This window comes from Homo sapiens, chromosome 8 (genome assembly GCF_000001405.40).
Source record: "Homo sapiens chromosome 8, GRCh38.p14 Primary Assembly".
NCBI classification, from domain to species: Eukaryota; Metazoa; Chordata; class Mammalia; order Primates; family Hominidae; genus Homo; species Homo sapiens.
This window is the reverse complement of record NC_000008.11, coordinates 6,967,391-6,986,466: the sequence shown is the minus strand read 5'-3', so window position 1 is coordinate 6,986,466 and position 19,076 is coordinate 6,967,391. Positions and strand designations below refer to the sequence as shown.

Here is a 19,076-nt window from a genome sequence, read left to right as displayed (position 1 = left end):
TTCTTGTTGCTGCAGGGTGCTGAGGCAGCTCAGGGGTCCAGGCACCCCACTGAGACACTGCATGGATGGGGAAGCCCATGCAGATCCCAAGGAGGACAGAGTGGGTGCCAACCTCCAGTGCATTTCCCCTAGCTCACCCAGGGTTTCACCTTTCCTGCCTTTGTCTTCAGGGAAGTTGAGGCCAACGGCTCTCCCTATTGCAACGTTCTGACTCCTATTTCACCAGTCTTCAATAAGCGCTTCCTTCACATTTCTGCGACGTCTTGGTGAATTTTTTCTTGTACAATAAATGAAATAGTTTTCTTTGGCTATTTCTTTTCTGATTTTCTAAACTCGGCTTACAAGCAAAACCAGAAGGAAAGGGATCTGAAAAGTACTCATTCCATTTTATGAGTATCTGAAATTTTTCCTTTTTCACTAAGAAACAAACAACTCATGAAGAACCTAAGGGAAAGAGCCCACTCTCACATTTCCTCTCAGTCACCCTCCCAACCTCTCTGTGCTGGATCCTCCTGGCTGACAGCGACCCCCACTTTTGTTCCAGCCCTCCACCCCATGCTCCTGCCACCACCTGGAATTCCTGCATCTCTGAATATCAAGTATGAAGGTCCCTGTTGCTGACTCACCCGCTGTACTTCCAGCCTCTCCGGTAGCCATCCCTCCTTCCCTGCTGATCAGCATCGATAAGGCTGTTCTCCCACAGAAACGTGCCTGGGAATCACCCGGGAGTCTGTTCCCCAGGCTGCACCAGGAACACCTGTCATCTACCCTCGTTTCCTGTTCTTATGAACTGTACTGTCTTTAACTCAGATTCTCTGAGCTAGGTAATATTTTTATATAATTTTCAGGCATATTAGCTGAGTTTTGCATTCAAATTTAAGAAACCACAACAAACTGAGTGAACAATTTGACTGCCACACCTGATACTTATGAAAGAATTCTGGCTTCATAAAATCCCTGATTGAAGGACCCAAAGCATAAGAGTCCTTCTTGTCTTTACCTTTTATCACCCCCATTTTTCTCTTGATAACTTGGGCTCGCTCCCCAAGTGACAGCCACATGAATTGTGGTTATCTCCCCACAGCCTCCGTTGTTGATATCCGGGAGAAAACCCCTATTGATTTCTCCATTGTTTCAGTCAACTCCCGAGTCCCATGCCCTCCTCTGAGTCTGTCCCTCAGTGGAGAGATTGAGACTCCACCTGGATCCACTACCCCTCCTCCACACAGGAAAAATTCAAACTAAGAATGGATGAGACAGGGTTCCTCAGTCACTCCATAGAGTCCACAGTTTCATCCCCCACCATGATGGGCTCTTTGTGACGCTTTGGGAAGAAGTTGAGAAAATTCCCTCCTATTTTATCAATATTTCAGAGAAGTTGAGATTTACACACACAAAATATGTACAAATCCAATTCCTCAGCAATACTGTGAAAATGCCCTCTGTTCATCTAGGGCTGTGTGAAAAGACACCACAAAACTTAGGGAATTAAAACAGCACGATCAGGTCGTCATTCACACATTTGCAATTGGGACATAGCCCCCCTCCATGGGCAACAGAGGACAGGTTCTGCTGGGAGCTGAAAACCTCAGGGCCAAGACGCTTGCGCACAGGTAGCGGGGAGTGCTGGGCTGGCTCAGTGGGAGCTCTGACAGGCTGAGGGATGAGATACTGTGATGCACTGAGGCCAGGTCATGCCAGCTCATGAGAGAAAAGATAGGTGTGACACTTTTTATCCCACTCATAGCTAGGAGGATTTGAACCAGAGAGATTTACAAACACTGCATATCAGAGTTTTGTTTTTCCTAGAAAGCTGGTTGCTCTGGGTTCTCTAGCTCTTCCTTGCAGGTGGGTTCAGTTCCTTTTTTTGCAATGCTTAGACTTCCTCCAAGCATTGTAGCTGGGCTTCAAAGGCACCAGCACTCTTAGTATATGTGGGATGCTGGGGGAAAGAAAATCATACACCAAGTGACTTATAAACAACAAAAATACATTTCTCAGTGTTCTGGAGGCTGAGATGTCCAAATCAAGGTGCCAACAGATTTGGTGTGTGGTGAGGACCAGCTTTTTGGTTCATAGATGCTACCTTCTCACTGCTTCCTCACCTGAGGGAATGAATGAAGGAGCTCTCTGGGGCTTCTTCCTCAGGGGCACTAATGCAACTCATGAGGACTCCATCCTCCTGAACATATCACTTCCCAGAAAGCCCCACCTTTTCATGCTGTCACCAGAGGAGGGATTTCAACATATGAATTTCAGAGGGACAGAAACATTCAGGCTGCAGCACCATCCAATACTCAGGAAGTGAAAGATACCAACTTCTTATGACCTTAGCCCAACAAACAGCACGGTGCTAAGTCAGGTGTGTTCAACTGGTCAAGATGTCGCCCAATCTAGATTCAACAGGAGCCATTTTCACCTCCATTTTTATGTGAAAAGAGTCAGGGATTTAGGGCCATATTTTAAAACAGCTCAAGGAAGCTATTTCCTTATGGTTTATTGTAAAATAAACCTGCTGCAATCCTCAACACCAGACACACAGACAGCTTGTGAGAGGCGGCTGGGAAAGGCAGACAAAGGGCAGGGACTTGGAGCTCCTACCTGTCCCAGCTGGATCTGCAGGCCCGGGAGTGACTGTGTGGCACAGGCAGCACCAGGACCCTCCCTGCAGGACAGTGGACAAAGGGCTGAGGGGAGGGACAGCGCGATGCACTCTGAGGAGCTGGGAGGTGGAGGGTCCTCCTCAGAGCTCACCTCTGCGTAGCCCCCGCTGCGCCCCATGGTAACACGCATGCTGTGTTCCATGACTACCCTTTCCTACCGGGTCAAAACCATAACCCCAGGGCCCCGCCCAAGGTCCACACACACTGTGTCTGCTGAGGCCACCAGACACCATAAACATGTGTGAGAATATGTGTGCTGCTCCTGGAAGCTTCTCTCCTCTCACACCTACAACCCCACCCACAGCTTCTCCAGAATGTTTACCCCAGCCTAATGATGTCAAGGTTTTTATTGAGTCTAGACTCGCTTCAATATTCCCTAAAATTCAAATGCGTGTGTCTGAAAAAAACAGCTTCAGCTGCATCTACATATAGTGTCCACAGTGTGGACACTGATTGTCTACACTGGCTGCAATCAGTGGAAAACATCAGGCTGGGGTTGGGGACTATGGATCAACATGGAAGTGAAAGTACTGTAAAAAATCTGTAGGCATAACACCTTTTTTGTTTAAACCACAAAATTCTGCCAAGGTTCTGGTGCAGCCAAAAGAGAAAAGTGAAAAGGACCACAGGGAAGAATCTCTCTGTTCTAATTTGAGTTTGGAGTTTGAGAATCACCTGCCGAAGGATGGCGACAATGCCTAGGTGTGACCTCAGTACAGACTGAGACCCTGCTGGGGCTCTGGGCTGCTGAGTCCTGACCGCAGTCTATGGAGGAGGCAAGGATGGGAGCATGGCCATGAGGGAGACACAGAGCAACGTCCCAGCAGATGGTTCCCAGTCCTGCAGCCAAGAATGGCAGGGAAGGAGAGCACAAGACTGGGTTGGGGCAGAGAAGGCCACCCCTCCAGGGACAGGAGCCACCAGTGACTCTGAGCCAGCTGGAGGGTCTCTGTTCTCCCTCAGCTCCCCAAATCGCTCTGGGTGCTGCATGTAAAGCCACCGCCTGGGCCAGGACATATGTCTGTGGCAGAGCTGCTGCACCCGCTCTCCCTCTTCCTGGACAGTGGCCACGTTTCTGGAGGACACACTCATGGCCCCTCCAGCACTGTTGTAAAGATTCTGGGCATCAATTTGTCATCAGTGGGCTGACAAAGTCCCCTTGCAGTTAAAAACCAAATCCTCACCACTAGTGTCCTAGCCACTTTGCAGCTGGCCCTCCATGTACTGGGACATCGTGTCTTTGGAGACAGCTATACCCCACTTGTCCATTCTGCTGAGGCCCACAAATGCCATCACCCAGAAGCCCTTCACATCCACTGGGGCCACAGCAGGATACAGTCTGTTGCTGGTCCAGCAGGTGATCTCTCTAGTCCATGCCCGGGTCCCGGGTTCTGAGTTTCATGGGGAGGCCCTCACTACCACCCATCATAAGTCTCAGAGCCTCTGGACAAAGCACACCTGTCCTAACTATGAGCTTCTGCACATGTAGTCTTCCAGGGACCGTAGCTCCTTATGCCCTGCGTGGAGCAGGTGTTCTCTTTACGTGGCATTTCTTCACTATCTCCTTTAGAACCACACCTATCATTGATTCAGATGGAGGCTCCCACCTCAGGACATCACAACATGAGGGTGGGTTAAGGGAGTCTCATTTAGTCCATCGTCCCCAAGCCACCAGCCTCCTCAAGCAGCACGGTGGCCTCCTAAAGTCATGGTTATTAATGTCTCTGGATGTGCTATGGACACCCAAGGCACCAAGGTCCTTCCAAGGGCCGTCACTTTTTTAACTCTCAATCCCATGGCCACCACTGCCTCATCACAATTGGGCTAGACGCACTTTGGTGCCTATCTTGGTGATCACAGAAGAGTTAGCTTCTTTTTTCCCTTACAGATAACATCATTTACATGTTCTCCAATAATGAGACCTCCCCATATCATCACAGGACATCCACCATCTCAACATCAAACATATACTGAACAATGGACTGTGGATGGATAGTAAACTACGATCTTCTGAGGATAACCCCCCAGGCCCACTGGCACCCAGCAGGACCACGAGGCTTTTGTTAGACCACACCTCTCCATTTCACATGCAGCTTCTGGCAAAAGCTCCCTTTTTTACCGGTTTTAAAGGTTAGCTAATATTTCCCACTTACTTCTCCTGGCAGGAAGTAGGGATTATTGCTCCAGAACCCACCGAGGGTGCAGTCAGAGGCAGTAACGAGGAGAAGAAGCCTTCAAACTAGAGACACCAACTACGTCAGGCAAAGACCATATGGAAGTGCCATCACCAAACGTGGCCATGGGGGAGAAAGGCTCCAAGGAAAAGTGGGTGCCAGCCAACCCCATCATCAGTGTCAATATAGAAGCACTGGGAAGAAAGCCCTGAGTGACAAGATGTCAGTGTTCTCTATGATTGGCCTTGCTTGGTATCTTATGTACAAATGGCTTGTGGGGTAGCTGTTTAACCCAGGCCTGGCAGCCTAGAGGGCTGCTGGAACAGGACAGCCCTAGTCAGAATTTGTACCCCAGACTGGAAAACTGGGGAATTCCCTGTAAGCCCTGTTACAGGGGCTGCACCCCAGATACAACCTGACCTGTGTCCAAGGCGGGCAACTCAACCCTTAGATATTGAATGGGTCCCATGGCACCAATGCTTAAACACCAGCAGCCCTCACAACCACAGATCGTGTTTTAAGGATGAGGAGGTAGTTCTCTGGATGCACAGGCTTCAATCCAAATGGGCTCATGACGCCGCAGCACACACCCAGACTGCAGCCTGAAGAGTTGGAGCATTGCATTCACAGAAAGCATCCAGACATGATCATGGGCTCAGGGATACACCTGTTCTCCGATGTGTACCAGTGAAGGATGGAAACTCCTATGCCTCCCAGAAAGCACCACTCAAGCTTTTGCTGAATGCTTCTCTGAAGGCCCACAAGGCCTGAGAGGCTGTGCAACACCAGCAGTAAAGTGAATGCCCAGACTCCCACCTCCTTTCTTGGGTGGCCATCTGGAAAGGCCACTCCCACCCTGATGGCTAATGCCTCAGACCAGTTCTTGGCCCAGATGATCCTAGACAATTGTTTAAGCTTAAACTGTTCATTGGCCAAGCAAACAGGTGATAGTCACCTCTGGGGAACCACATGCCGCGTGTACATCCAGTACTCAGGAGAACCCAAAAATGTCTGTTCCACATAGCAACAGAAGCCCAGGTAGCACTCAGTCTCACCTGGGTGTTCTCCAACATCCCAGCTCAGCCAAATGGCTTTCATTAGTTTTTATGGTTAGACCCCAGGTCCTCGGGACACTGCTTTAGAAACACATTCCAAATCCTCCTCTGTGTGCAGGTGGCATTCCTATCCCAATCTCTTTGCAGGGCGTATACTGTGATACGCAGCCAGGCTGTCCCAGAGGCCTTAAATATTCCCTTGGTGCAGGTAGTTCAGCTTAGCCACAGCCAATGCATCACAGGGTCAACTGTGTTAGGAGCCATTGAGAATCCATAGTTGGTTGCTGCCTGGGCCTGGCCAGGGCTGACCAAGGTAGATGAGAGGTTCCTCTGTGGAGTTCTACTTTAACCTCACCTTCCCACCAAATTTCTCAACTGTCCTTGCCACCACAATTATTTAATGGACCCAACAGAAAGTAACCCCGGAAATTAGGACACCTCATCCCAAAAGACCTTTAAATAGGGGAAGTCCACTTGTGCACGGCTGCTCCTTGCTATAGAAGACCTGGGACAGAGGACTGCTGTCTGCCCTCTCTGGTCACCCTGCCTAGCTAGAGGATCTGTAAGTACTACAAAACTTAAACTTTACACTGAGTTTTCATTATTGAAGCTATGCCTCCAATCTGACCTCTGACTGTGGGGCCACCCCAGAGGGAACCAGCGGGCGAATCCCTGCTAGGAACGTCTGTCCGGACCTCTGGTGACTGCTGGGGACGATGGCTTCCAGCTAACTTAATAGAGAAACTCAAGCAGTTTCCTTCTAAACACACATGTCACATGTCCTGGTTGACATGTCCAGTAGAGACTATCACAGGTCTTTGGAACATTCTTTTGAGAGAAACCTATTTAGGTCCTTGGTCTGTTTTTCAATCAGGTTGTTTGATTTTTGCTATTGAGTTGTTGGAATTCCTTATGTATTCAGATATTTGCCCCTTCGGCCATGTAGGTTTTGCAAATATTTTCTCTCATTTTCTGGGTTATCTTTTCACTCGGTTGATTGTTTCCTTTGCTGTGCAGATGCTTTAGCGTTAAATGAAGCCACACTTGTCTATTTTCCCTTTTATTGCCTGTGCCTTTGGTGTCATAGCCAAGAAATCATTACCTACATCAATGTCAAAAGCTTTATCCTTCTATACACTTCTAGTAGTTTATGGTTTCAGTTGTTACATTTAGGTTTTCAATTCATTCTGAGTTGATGTTTCTACATGGTGTGAGATAAAGATTTAAATACATACATATATAAAATCATGAGGTAGTGTACACTATAAATATACAATTGTTAATTGTTACTCAAGTCTAAGTAGAGGTGGAAATAATAAACTTTCTTTTTTTTACTTAAACCACTCTGTGTCACTGAGCTGATTTCACCTTTAGCCTGATAAAATCATTGTCCTCTCCACCCTGATTCCTACAGGAGACTACTCACCCCATAACCTCAAAAACCTCTTCATGAGGATGGTAAGTCACCTGAATCCTGAAGTGAATTACTCGCTATTCCATTGGAACTCATATAGGACACCAGAATCTAGACCTCCAGAGAACAGCAGGACCCATCTTCAGAAAATAAGAAGCATTTGTTCCCTGAGCCTGTTGAATCAAAGTGCAATTTCTATTCTTTTTGGAATGTTAAAAAGTGAATCATAATATTTAAGCAGGTGAACCCACGAGTAACATAGCAGGGTCTTTCTTGTCATTATTAGCTCCAACCTAGCACAGACATTAAAGGTACAGATGTATACTAGCATGAAACTGGGAGAACAGGAGCATTCGAGCAACCTTGAGACCAATGGGCCTCTCTTATAAAATGCACACCTCCTCTCACTGAGATTGAGGAAGGTTTCTTGTCTCCGAGCCTTCTCCCAGTAGAGCTATAAATCCAGGCTGGCTCCTCCCTCCCCACACAGCTGCTCCTGCTCTCCCTCCTCCAGGTGACCCCAGCCATGAGGACCCTCGCCATCCTTGCTGCCATTCTCCTGGTGGCCCTGCAGGCCCAGGCTGAGCCACTCCAGGCAAGAGCTGATGAGGTTGCTGCAGCCCCGGAGCAGATTGCAGCGGACATCCCAGAAGTGGTTGTTTCCCTTGCATGGGACGAAAGCTTGGCTCCAAAGCATCCAGGTGAGAGAGGCAGGCATGCAGAGCTGCTAAGTCTAGAGGGAAGGACGGGAGAGAGGTTCCAGAGTTGGGTCTCAGCAGTCTATGTCACTGAGGTGGCTTCACTTAGAATCTCTGGGCATTGATTTTCTCATCTAGAAATTGAACAGAGAGCCAAATAAACATGAGAAACTTTATTTCTCCAAAGACTTGATTCCAAGAAACGTCTGTGAAATTCACTAAGTTTCAGATATGAAGAGACAGACTAGTTATTTCTGGATCTAAACAAGTAGACTTAGTTGTAAAGAGAACATTTTACTCTATCTACAGAAGAGCTTTTAAAAACTGCAGCCAAGCCTGAGGATATGTTCAGGTGTGTGTGTGATGGGGCAGGAATGCAAAAATGAGAGCAAAGGAGAATGAGTCTCAAATTCTGAGTGACAAGCACTGCTCTGCGTGTTTATTCCTATCGACTGAGGTTGTTCGTGCTAACGGCTGCAATGCAGCCAGCATCACCTGTCAGCTAGCATGTGACTTCCCCGAGATTCTTTTTCTTACCCACTGCTAACTCCATACTCAATTTCTCATGCTCTCCCTGTCCCAGGCTCAAGGAAAAACATGGCCTGCTATTGCAGAATACCAGCGTGCATTGCAGGAGAACGTCGCTATGGAACCTGCATCTACCAGGGAAGACTCTGGGCATTCTGCTGCTGAGCTTGCAGAAAAAGAAAAATGAGCTCAAAATTTGCTTTGAGAGCTACAGGGAATTGCTATTACTCCTGTACCTTCTGCTCAATTTCCTTTCCTCATCCCAAATAAATGCCTTGTTACAAGATTTCTGTGTTTCCACCTCTTTAATGTGTGATATGTGTCTGTGTCAAGACACTTGGGATACACGTACCAAAACGCAAAATCAAATTTTTGAACAATATAAAATTCCAAATTCTAGGAATTTCAAGCAGGAGTTTGGGCTTCAGATCCAAATTGAAAAGAAGGCCCATATGACACCACTGATTTCCCCACCCACTGCTCTGCCTTTTCACCCTGCCTCATTTTCTCTGGATCCACTCTCAAAGAGCTCGCGTGTGCTGGGCAAACAATCGGTGTCAGCTTACATTTCATGCAGTCACAAAATCATTACTTCTCCGGGAAAAAAAAACCATCCTCTGTGCTAAAGAATTGGAGTTTCATTGAACAATGTCAGATTGTACATTTTCCTTTTAAGACATAGGGTTACATGAGATCCACGGAAAAAACTTTCATTCAGAGGGAAATGGGTTGTTAGCAAAGGCGGGATACATGGAACAGAAAGCACAGCATCTCACATTGGCACGTCCTCATTAAGAGGACCCTCCAGCCACGTCTACTAAGACCTGGATTTCACAATCATAAAGTTGTCTTCACACCCAGAAAACACACACACACAAATGCTCCACCGCACTTTGCAACGCGCACCCTCTTGTGTTACCCTAAAGCTGCTGAGAACCTGATTCTGCCTGGAAAATACAGCTTCAGAGGGGATAAGGGACAAGGGAGGGAAAGCATTTCACCAGGAACATGGTAGCGTTCTTGTTGCTGCAGGGGGCTGAGGCAGCCCAGGGGCCCAGGTACCCACTGAGACACTGCATGGATATGGAAGCCCACCAAGAACCCTGGGAGGACAGAGTGGGTAATGATCCCAGACTTCTTCTTGTTTAGGTGATGAAGGACACAAATAGGGAATCACGGTGTGAAGCCCAGGAGCCTTCTTTGGCTTCCTGTGACTGCCATGGACTTGGAATCATGTGGTCCCCGAATTAACTTTCCATAGTATTCTGAACTATGAAATGGATCAAGATGGCTGCATCTTGGGGCATCTGCCAGAGGTCCACCTGACTTTCTCCCAAGCATCTGAGGTCTCAGCTAAAACTTCACTTGGTCACTGAGGTCTTTTCTGATCTCTCAACCTTAAATTGCAACAAGATCCCCCTGCTGACCTCCATTCTCCGATTTTCCTCATTGCTAACTATAGAATTGCAACCGTCTCACTCCCTGTACACTTCACTTACTAAACGTAACATTTGCCTCCTTACTCCAGAAGGGAAGCTGCATGTTTTGCTTATTGTTGTACCAGAGTGCATGGATGACTGTAACATAAAGTAGGGGGTTACTAAATTAATTCTGATTACATTAACTAATTGCATCTAATAGCACATAACAATATAAAATTATTTATTAATTGTTATTCCTAAATTCCATAGGAAAAAACTAAATTCAACAGAGGTAGAGCAGTCCATTTTCTAGACCCTATGACAGCACACCTTTAAAAAACAAAATAAATAAAAGTATTCAAGGCTGAAACATGAAAAAACATCATGGGTACTATTTGGCATCATGAAGCTTTAGGACCTTAGAAGAAGCAGGCCATTCCGGCTAAAGCAGGCAAAAAGATTCCATGTGAATCTTCAAGTACAACATCAATATGTTTAAAACATGGAATGACTAAAAGAAGAGGTAGAATGAAATGTTTGGTGGACAGAATGCTATCAGGGCAAGAGCTATGCAGGATGAGGGTGGACCTCCACTGAATTCAGAGGAATGGATGTTGCCAGAGAGAAGGACGGAGTAGAATTCAGGCTGATGTGCTGAGAAGCATCCATCAATCCAAGGGAAAGGGCCAGATGAGAACGGAGCCTCCCTGCTCCTCTGTGTGGATAAAGGCACACTGGGAGCACCACATGTGGCTTCTGCTACTGCAGTCTAGGGTGGGCGATGACTGCTGCAAACTCTAGGGACGGAGAATTCAGGGAGAGGTGTGAGGGTCTCCAAACAACCAGGGCAACTTACTCAGCCTCAAATGAGGCACAACACTGTTTACTGGGATGCACATACACTCTAGGATTAGTGATGACATGCAAGAACTTTTCTACCGGAAATGAGCCATTCATGCGGCAGGACAAGGAAATAAGGAATAAGTTAGATGCCTCATCCCTTTAAATGTAACTACTCAAGGGGACAGCAGCCCTGTCTCTGTAGGCAGGCAGGAGCCTAACTCCAATAAGCACAAACTAGCAAACGCAGATGGCCCAATCACACTGCAAGACTCCCACTACCAACCTCCAGTGCATTTCCGCTAGCTCACCCAGGCCTTAACCTTCCCGCTTTGGCTTCAGGAAAGTTGAGGCCAACGGCTCTCCCTGTTGCAACGTTCTGACTCCCATTTCAACAGTCTTCAATAAGTGCTTCCTTCACATTTTTAAAAGGTCTTGGTTAATTTTTACTTGTACAAAAAATGAAATAGGTTTCTTTTGCTGTTACTGTTCTGATTTTCTAAACTCGGCTTATAAGCAAAACCAGAAGGAAAGAGATCTGAAAAGAACTCATTCCATTTTAGGAATATCTGTATTTTTTCCGTGTTCACGAAAAAAACAAATAACTCATGAAGAAACTAAGGGAAAGAGCTCACTCTAACATTTCCTAGAAGTCAACCTCCCAACATCTCAATTCTGTGTCCTCCTGGATAACAGGGACTGCCACCTCGTTCCAGCCTTCCACCCCATGGCTACTCCCTAACTCCTGCACCACCTGGAATTCCTCCATCTCTGAACATCACTTATGAAATTCCTGTCCCTGACACACCCATTGTCCTCCAGCCTCTCACATAGCCGTCCCTCCTTCTCTGCTGATCAGCATCAATAAGGCTGTTCTCCCCCAGGGCTGTGCATGGGAATCATCCAGGAGTCTCTTCTCCAGGCTGCACCCAGGACACCTGCCATCCGCTCTCATTTCCTATTCTTATGCACTGCACCATTTTGCCTCAGCTTCTCTTATCTGGGTAATTTTTGTTGTATCTTTTTCAGGCATATTAGCGGAGTTGTGCACTCAAATTTAAGAAACCACAACAAGCTGAATTAACATTTTGAATGCCCCACCTGAACAGTGGGTCACACCTGTAATCCAAACACTTCGGGAAGCCAAGGAGGGTGGATCATGAGGTCAGGAGTTCAAGACCAGACAGCGCAACACGGTGAAAACTGTCTCTACTACTAAAAATAGAAAAATTAGCCGGGTGTGGTGGTGGGTGCCTGTAATCTCAGCTACTCAGGAGGCTGAGGCAGGAGAATCGCTTCAACCTGGGAGGTGGAGGTTGCAGTGAGCCAAGATCGCGCCACTGCACTCCAGCGTGGGTGACAGATCTACACTCTGCCTCAAAAAAAAAAAAGAAAAGAAAAGAAAAAAAAGAAAGAAAGAAAGAAAGAAAGAAAGAAAGAAAGAAAGAAAGAAAGAAAGAAAGAAAAGAAAAGAAAGGCTTCTGGCTTCATAAAATGCCTGATCCAAGGACTCTAGGCATGAGTTACCTTGTTGTCTTTACCATTTTGTTTCCCGCTTTTTTCTCTTGATCTTAACTTGGGGTCTCTCCCCAGATGACAGTCGTGTGAATAATGGTCATCCTCCCTGGGACTTCATAGCTGATCTCCGGGAGAAAACCCCTACTTCTCTCTCCGTTGTTTCAGCCAGCTCTGGAGTTCCGCACCCTCTTCTGAGTCTGTCACTGAGGGGAGAGGTTGAGACTCCACCTGGATCCCACACTACCCCAGCTCCCCACAGGAAAAATTCAAACTAAGAATGGGTGAGACCGGGTTCCTCAGTCACTCCAAAGAGTCCACAATTCCATGCCCCCACCACAATGGGCTCTTTGTGACACTTTGGGATTCAATTGAGAAAGTTCTCTCCTATTTCATCAATATTTTAGAGAAGCTGAGATTTACACACACACACAAAGTACAAGTCCAATTTGTCACCAATACTGTGAAAATTGCCCTCTGTTCATCTAGGGCTCTATGAAAAGACACCACAAGACTTAATGGATTAAAACAACATGATCAGGTCTTCATTCACACATTTGCAATTGGGAGGTGGCTCTCTCCACAGGCATCAGAGGAGAAGTGCTGCTGGGATCTGAAAACCTCAGGCCCAAGACACTTGTGAACAGGTGGCAGGGGGTGCTGGCTCAGCTGCAGCTCTGACAGGGCTCAGGGGTGAGACCCTGTGAGGCACTGACGTCAGATCATGCCGGTTCATGAAGGAGGAGATTGGTGTGACACTTTGTATCCCACTCATAGCTAGCAGGATTTGCAACACTTAGACTTCCTCCAAGCATGGTATCCGGGCTTCAAAGACACAAGCAATCTGAGTGTATGTGGAGTGCTGGAAAAAAATACCATACACCAAGTGACTTAGAAACAACAGAAATATATGTCTTGGTGTTCTCGAGGCTGAGAAGTCCAAAACAAGGTGCCAACACACTTGGTGTCTGGTGAGGACCAGTTTTGTGATTCATAGACGGCACCTTCTCACTGAATCCAACTCGCTGCAGATGACATAATTTCATTCTCTTTTATGAATGTAGTATCCCATCATGTATATGTACCACATTTTCTTCATCCAGTCCAACACTGATGGCCATCTAGGTTGACTCCATGTCTTTGTTAGCATGAATGATGCTGCCATGAACATACGAGTACATGTGTCTTTTTGGCAGAATAATTTGTTTTCCTTTGGATATATACCCAGTAGTGAGATTCCTTGGTTGAATGCTGGTTCTATTTTAAGTTATTTGCGAAATCTCTAAACTGCTTTCCACTATGGCTGAACTCATTAACATTCCCCTCAACAGTGTATAAGCGTTCTCTTTCTCTGCAGTCTTGCCAATATCAGTATTTTTTAACTTTTCAATAACAGCCATTCTGACTAGTGTGAGCTGGTATCCCTTTGAGGTTTTATTTTGCATTTCTCTAATGATCAGTAATGTGGAGCATTTTTTCATGTTTCTTGGCCTCTTGTATGTCTTTTTTTTGAGAAGTATCTGTTCATGCCCTGGCACGCATTTTAAAGGGGTCATTTCTTTTTTGCTTACTTATTTGTTTAAGTCCCTTGTAGAGGAAAATCACTTTGACCACGAGATCACCACCAACCAGCCTTTCCTTACTGCTACAAACACGGACCTTGCCATCTCCAGTACACGGTGCTGGCTCATGGCCAGTACCCAAACCCTTGACTTGCTGCTTCCCTGACCTCATGCTTTGCTGATTACCCCAAAAATGACCTCATTAGAGTGGAATTTTGCTGAGATCACCATTTGCTTTCAGAATAAGCCCATTACTTTATGGTGCAAGGAACCCATAGAGCCTCAGTGAGATTGTAAAGCTGCCCTACAAGCTACGGAAAACTATGGACTTGGGAGAACTGTGTGTAAGAATACCACGCCCGAATCTCACCAGCTCTCCAGTGATAACGCTCATGCAGTGCTGCGGAAATGCCTGTGGACTGGAGTGTGCTCTGTGTGCAGGAAGCAGGTCCAGGTTTCACTTCCGCAGGACATGGGACATTTCCAGAACCCAGAGATCTTCCTCTCGCTCATATACACCCCTTCATATTTAGTCCCTATAACCTCATCATTGCGACCCTACAGGCACCTACTAATGCCCTGGAAGCTAAAACTGTCACCAGAGCCTCAGTTTCCCCAAAGAGCCCAAATTTCTTCTTATGCTGGGGTGAGACTGGTGCTCACTTCCTCCAAAGCTGAAGTTCCTGGGCCTGCCACACATCAGGAATTCACTGCTTCCTCAGAGGGACAGGAGACCCCACTGCTCTGCCACAGTGACCGCCCCTAGCAAGGCTTGAGATGCCTCCTCTACCTTAAGGTTGAGGGAGATGCTTTAGTTCTCACTCCACTGCCCCCAGGCCTCCACCGGCCGATGCCTGCTGCCTGCACACAGAGCTGCAGGGGAGGCCCTGAGCACCCAGCCTGTGGGACCAGCGCTGTGCATGACCTTCCCATGGCAGCAGGGGCTGTCTGGCCTGTACACTGGGTTCAGCAACCTCACCATAGGTATTTACTGCCTCTCGAGTGACTGCTTTCTTTTCTCATTTCCAGAAACCTTATCACATCTACCTCACTATGAGAAGGAGGAGGAGGGTGGATAGTGGTACATTTTAAAATGTGCTCTAGTTTTCCTAGGACTTCTCCTGAAATAACACAGGAGGGACCACAGGAGCTCAATCCTGCATATCTCGAGTGACCAGTGATCTTCCCACTCACGCCGTGTGTATGGAGGCTCTTAAGCCTGCCCAGAATTGACTTAAGAGCAAGGTATTTGAGAACACAGCACCAGGTGATGTAAGCTAACACCCATCTTGCTTCCACCTTGGCCGCCTCCCTGAGAGACTTCCAAAAGACATTAGATCTCAAGCAGGAAACTCAGGAGTCCTTGGCGCCAGTGGTCCTAGACACTCGTTTAGCCTTAAACTGTCCATTGCCCAAGCAACGAGGCAATTGTCCGCTCCCGGGAACCACATGCTGTGTGCACATCCTTAACAAACCCAACAAAACCTGCCCTGCCTGGTAACACAAGCCGACGTGGGATTCAGTCTCAACCAGGTGGTCTGCAACATCCCAACCCAGCCAATCGGCTTTGATGTGTTGTTACGGTTAGAGCACAGGTACTTGGGAGGCTGGTTCAGGCAAGATTCCTCATCCTCTCCTGTGCATGGGTGTCTGTCGTAACTTGTCTCCCTAACAGAGTGTATCCTGTGATATGCAGGCCAGGCTCTCCTGGGGGCTTTAAGTATTCCCTGGGTGCAATTACCTCAGCCTGAGCCATCAGCACAGGCATCTCGGGGTCCATTGTCTTAGGAGTCATGGAATCTATCATTGGTTGCTGCCTGGGCCTGGCCAGGGCTGACCGAGTTAGATGCGGGGTTCTCTGTGGACTCATGTCTACACCACAGCGTCCCTCCAAATTTCTCAACTGCCCTTGCCACCAGAGTTATTTAATGTACCCAACAGAAAGTAACCCAGGATATTAGGATACCTGATCCCAAATCACCCTTAAATAGGGAAGTCCCCTCCTGTTTGTGCACGGCTGCTCTTGCTACAGGAGACCAGGGACAGAGGACTGCTGTCTGCCCTCTCTGGTCACTCTGCCTAACTTCAGGAGCTGTAATTAACACAGACCTTAAACTCTCACATTGAGGTTTCAACATTGAGCCTGTGCCCCCAGTCTGACCTGTGACTCCTGGACCACCCCAGAGGGACCTAGTGGGTGAATCCCCTGCTGTGCATTTCTCTCTGAACCTCTGGTGGTTGCCTGGGGCATTGGCTACCAGCTAAGTTAATAGAGAAACTCAGGAAATTTCCTTCGAAATACGCGTGTCCTACTTGACGTGTCTAACAGAGACAATAGTAGCGCCTTGAAACATTATTTTATTTTGAGAGGAGCCTATCCTGCTCCTTGGCCTGTTTTTCAATCAGGTTATTTGTTATTTGCTATTGAGTTGTTTGACTTACTTATGTATTTGGATATTTACCCCTTCTACCACTTAGGGTTTGCAAATATTTTCTCTCATGTTCTGGGTCACTTTTTCACTCAGTTGTTTGTCTTTTTGATTTTTGCCATTCAGATGCTTTAATGTTCAATGCAGCCCCACTTGTCTATTTTTCTTTTCATTGCCTGTGTCTTTGCTGCCATAGCAAAGATATCATTACCAACATCAACGTCAAAGCATTATCTTCATATGTTCCTCTCATCATTTTATGGTTTCAGGTCTATGTTTGGGTCTTCAAAACATTTTGAGTTGATTTGTGTACCTAGTATATGATAAAAAACCACATGTATATGAACATCAAATCCTAACGCAGTATACAGTAGATCTGTACCATTTTTAATTCTTATTCATATCTCAGTAGAGCTGGAAAAATTTCTTTTGGATGTAGATGAACTTTTTACCTCGATGTCACTGTGTTCATTTCACCTATCACGTGATAGGGTCATGGTCCTCTTCACACTGGCTCCTACAAGAGACTACTAACCCCATGACTTCATGAGGGTGGTCACGCCCTTGATGCCTGCAACAAATGACTCTTCACTTGATAGGAATTTATGCCTGCTGCCAGAGTGTAGACCTCCAGGAAGTAGTGGGGCCATCTGCAGAAAATGACACATTTGCTCCCTGAACTTACTGAACAAAAGCACTGCTGTTATCTTTTGGTTATTAAAAAGTAAATATGGAATGAAGTGAGAAACAGGAAAAACATGCCAGGATCCTCATCTTCACCATCTTCTCCAAACACCTGATCCATCTACTCACACTTTCTAGTGTGAATAGAGATTCACACTACAATAAAAGCTGAGAGATCAAAGGAGGAAAAGAGGGACACTGAGACCAAAGGGATCCCACACAATCCCCGATGAAATGCACACCTCCTCTCACTGAGAAGTTTCAAAGTTTCTGGTCTCTGAGCCTTCTCTCTGCAGACCTATAAACCCAGGCTAACTCCTCTCTCCCCACACATCTGCTCCTGCTCTCCCTCCTCCAAGTCTCTGTAGCCATGAGGACCCTTGCCCTCCTCACTGCCACCGTTCTCTTTGTGGCCCTGCAGGCTCAGGCGGAGCCACTTCGGGCAAGAGCTGATGAAGCTGCAGCCCAGGAGTAGCCTGGAGCAGATGATCAGGAAGTGTCTGTTTCCTTTACATGGGATGAAAGCGCTGCACTTCCACTTTCAGGTGAGACAGGCCGGCATGCAGAGAGCTGCACAGTCTAGAGGGTTGGACGGGAGAGAGAGTCTGGAATCGAGTCTCAATGGTCCATGTCACTTAGGTGGCTTCATTTAGCATCTCTGGTCCTTGGTATTCTCATCTATAAATTGAAGAGAGAGCCCAATAAATCTAACAGGTTTTCTGTCTTTAAAGACTTAAGGCTGCTCTGCATGGAGAGCAGCCATTATTTTACTCTTTTACTTTCTTAATAATCCTTTCACTTTAGAAAAAATAAATAAAAAGGAAAGACTTGATTCCAAGATATGCCTGTGAAACTCAGTAGGTTTAAGATATGAAGAGACAGTCTGACTACTTCTTTCTGGATCTAAACAAGTAGATTTCATTATAAGGAGAATATTTTACTGTATCTATAGAATGGTTTTTTAAAAGTAGAGCCAAGCCTAAGAGTGTGTTCAGGTGTGTGTGTGATGGGGCAGAAGCACAAAAATGAGAGCAAATGAGAATGAGTCTCAAATCCTGTGTGACCAGCACTGCTCTGTGTATTTATTCCTATTGACTGAGGTTGTTCATGCTACCGGCCCTAATGCAGACAACATCACTCATCAGCTGGCACGTGACTTCTCCAAGATTCCCTTTACAACCCACTGTTGACCTTGGTGATCCATTTCTGATGCTGTCCCTGTGTCCCCAGGCTCAGGGAGAGGCTTGAGGTGCATTTGCAGACGAGGAATTTGCCATTTCTTTCAACGTCGCTTTGGGTCCTGTGCCCTTCCTGGTAGATTATACCGGATCTGCTGCTGCTGAGCTTGCAGAATCAAGAAAAATAAGCTCATTATTTACTTTGAGAGTAAAAGAAATTCTTGTTATTCCTGTACCTTGTCCTTAATTTCATTTTCTCATCCTAAATAAATACCTTATCGCAAGATTTCTGTCTTTACATCTCTTTCACATTTGATGTGTCTTTGTGTCTCAAGACACTTGGCATGCACCTACCAGAATCCTAAGTTTTTAAACAAAACAAAATTCCAAATTCTAGGAATTTCAAGCAGGAGTTTTGGCTTCAGACTCTAATTGAAAAGAAGGCCCATATGACACCACCAATCTCCCCATCCACTGCTCTGTCTTTTCACTCTGTCTCATTTTCTCTGGATCCACTCAAAGAGCTCCCTCCCGTGTACTGGGCAAACAATCGGTGTCAGCTTAAAGTTCATGCAGTCACAAAATCATTACTTCTCCGGGAAAACCACCATCCTCTGTGCTAAAGAATTGGAGTTTCATTGAACAATGTCAGATTGTACATTTTCCTTTTAAGACATAGGGTTACATGAGATCCACGGAAAAAACTTTCTGTAAGAGGGAAATGTGTTGTTAGCAAAGGTGGGATGCATGGAACAGAAAGCACAGCAGCTTACACTGGCATGTCCTCATTAAGAGCACCCTCCAGCCATGTCTACTAAGACCTGGATTTCACATCCATAAACTCTTCTTCACACCCAGAAAATGCACACACACAAATGCTCCACTGCACTTTGCAACAGGCACTCTCTTGTGTTG

At 46.5% G+C, this 19,076-nt stretch overlaps 1 protein-coding gene, 1 long non-coding RNA gene and 1 pseudogene across 5 annotated transcripts, besides 2 other annotated features; 2 read left to right on the top strand and 1 right to left on the bottom strand.

Annotated features, from left to right (window-relative positions):
* The first annotated feature begins 6,374 nt into the window (after positions 1–6,374).
* On the top strand, positions 6,375–8,818 carry DEFA1 (defensin alpha 1). 2 transcript variants are annotated; one of them, XM_011534740.4, is made up of 4 exons: positions 6,375–6,454; positions 7,307–7,350; positions 7,821–8,007; positions 8,588–8,818. In XM_011534740.4, the coding sequence occupies exons 2-4, from the start codon at positions 7,342–7,344 to the stop codon at positions 8,695–8,697; spliced, it is 306 nt and encodes a 101-aa protein (XP_011533042.1). In that variant the 5' UTR covers positions 6,375–6,454; positions 7,307–7,341; the 3' UTR covers positions 8,698–8,818. The 2 variants fall into 2 exon arrangements, with proteins under 2 accessions (XP_011533042.1, NP_004075.1); NM_004084.4 differs by lacking the exon at positions 7,307–7,350.
* On the bottom strand, positions 7,921–12,581 carry LOC124901873 (uncharacterized). Of its 2 annotated transcripts, none has more exons than XR_007060787.1 (2): positions 12,321–12,581; positions 7,921–8,138 (listed from the first exon to the last, which is right to left on the bottom strand). It is a non-coding gene; the product is annotated as an uncharacterized LOC124901873 (long non-coding RNA). The 2 variants fall into 2 exon arrangements; XR_007060786.1 differs by lacking the exon at positions 12,321–12,581 and adding an exon at positions 11,080–11,151.
* Positions 14,272–14,772: an enhancer, noted in NCBI's record as "H3K4me1 hESC enhancer chr8:6829217-6829717 (GRCh37/hg19 assembly coordinates)". NCBI's record gives its function as "activates a minimal SCP1, AML or CMV promoter by ChIP-STARR-seq in naive H9 embryonic stem cells {active_cell/tissue: H9 hESC(naive)}" and the evidence as "EXISTENCE:reporter gene assay evidence [ECO:0000049][PMID:30033119]".
* Positions 14,773–15,273: an enhancer, noted in NCBI's record as "H3K4me1 hESC enhancer chr8:6828716-6829216 (GRCh37/hg19 assembly coordinates)". NCBI's record gives its function as "activates a minimal SCP1, AML or CMV promoter by ChIP-STARR-seq in naive H9 embryonic stem cells {active_cell/tissue: H9 hESC(naive)}" and the evidence as "EXISTENCE:reporter gene assay evidence [ECO:0000049][PMID:30033119]".
* On the top strand, positions 17,354–18,326 carry DEFA10P (defensin alpha 10, pseudogene; annotated as a pseudogene). Its single transcript, NR_029386.1, has 2 exons — positions 17,354–17,537; positions 18,220–18,326. The product of NR_029386.1 is annotated as a defensin alpha 10, pseudogene (transcript).
* Positions 18,327–19,076: the final 750 nt, after the last annotated feature.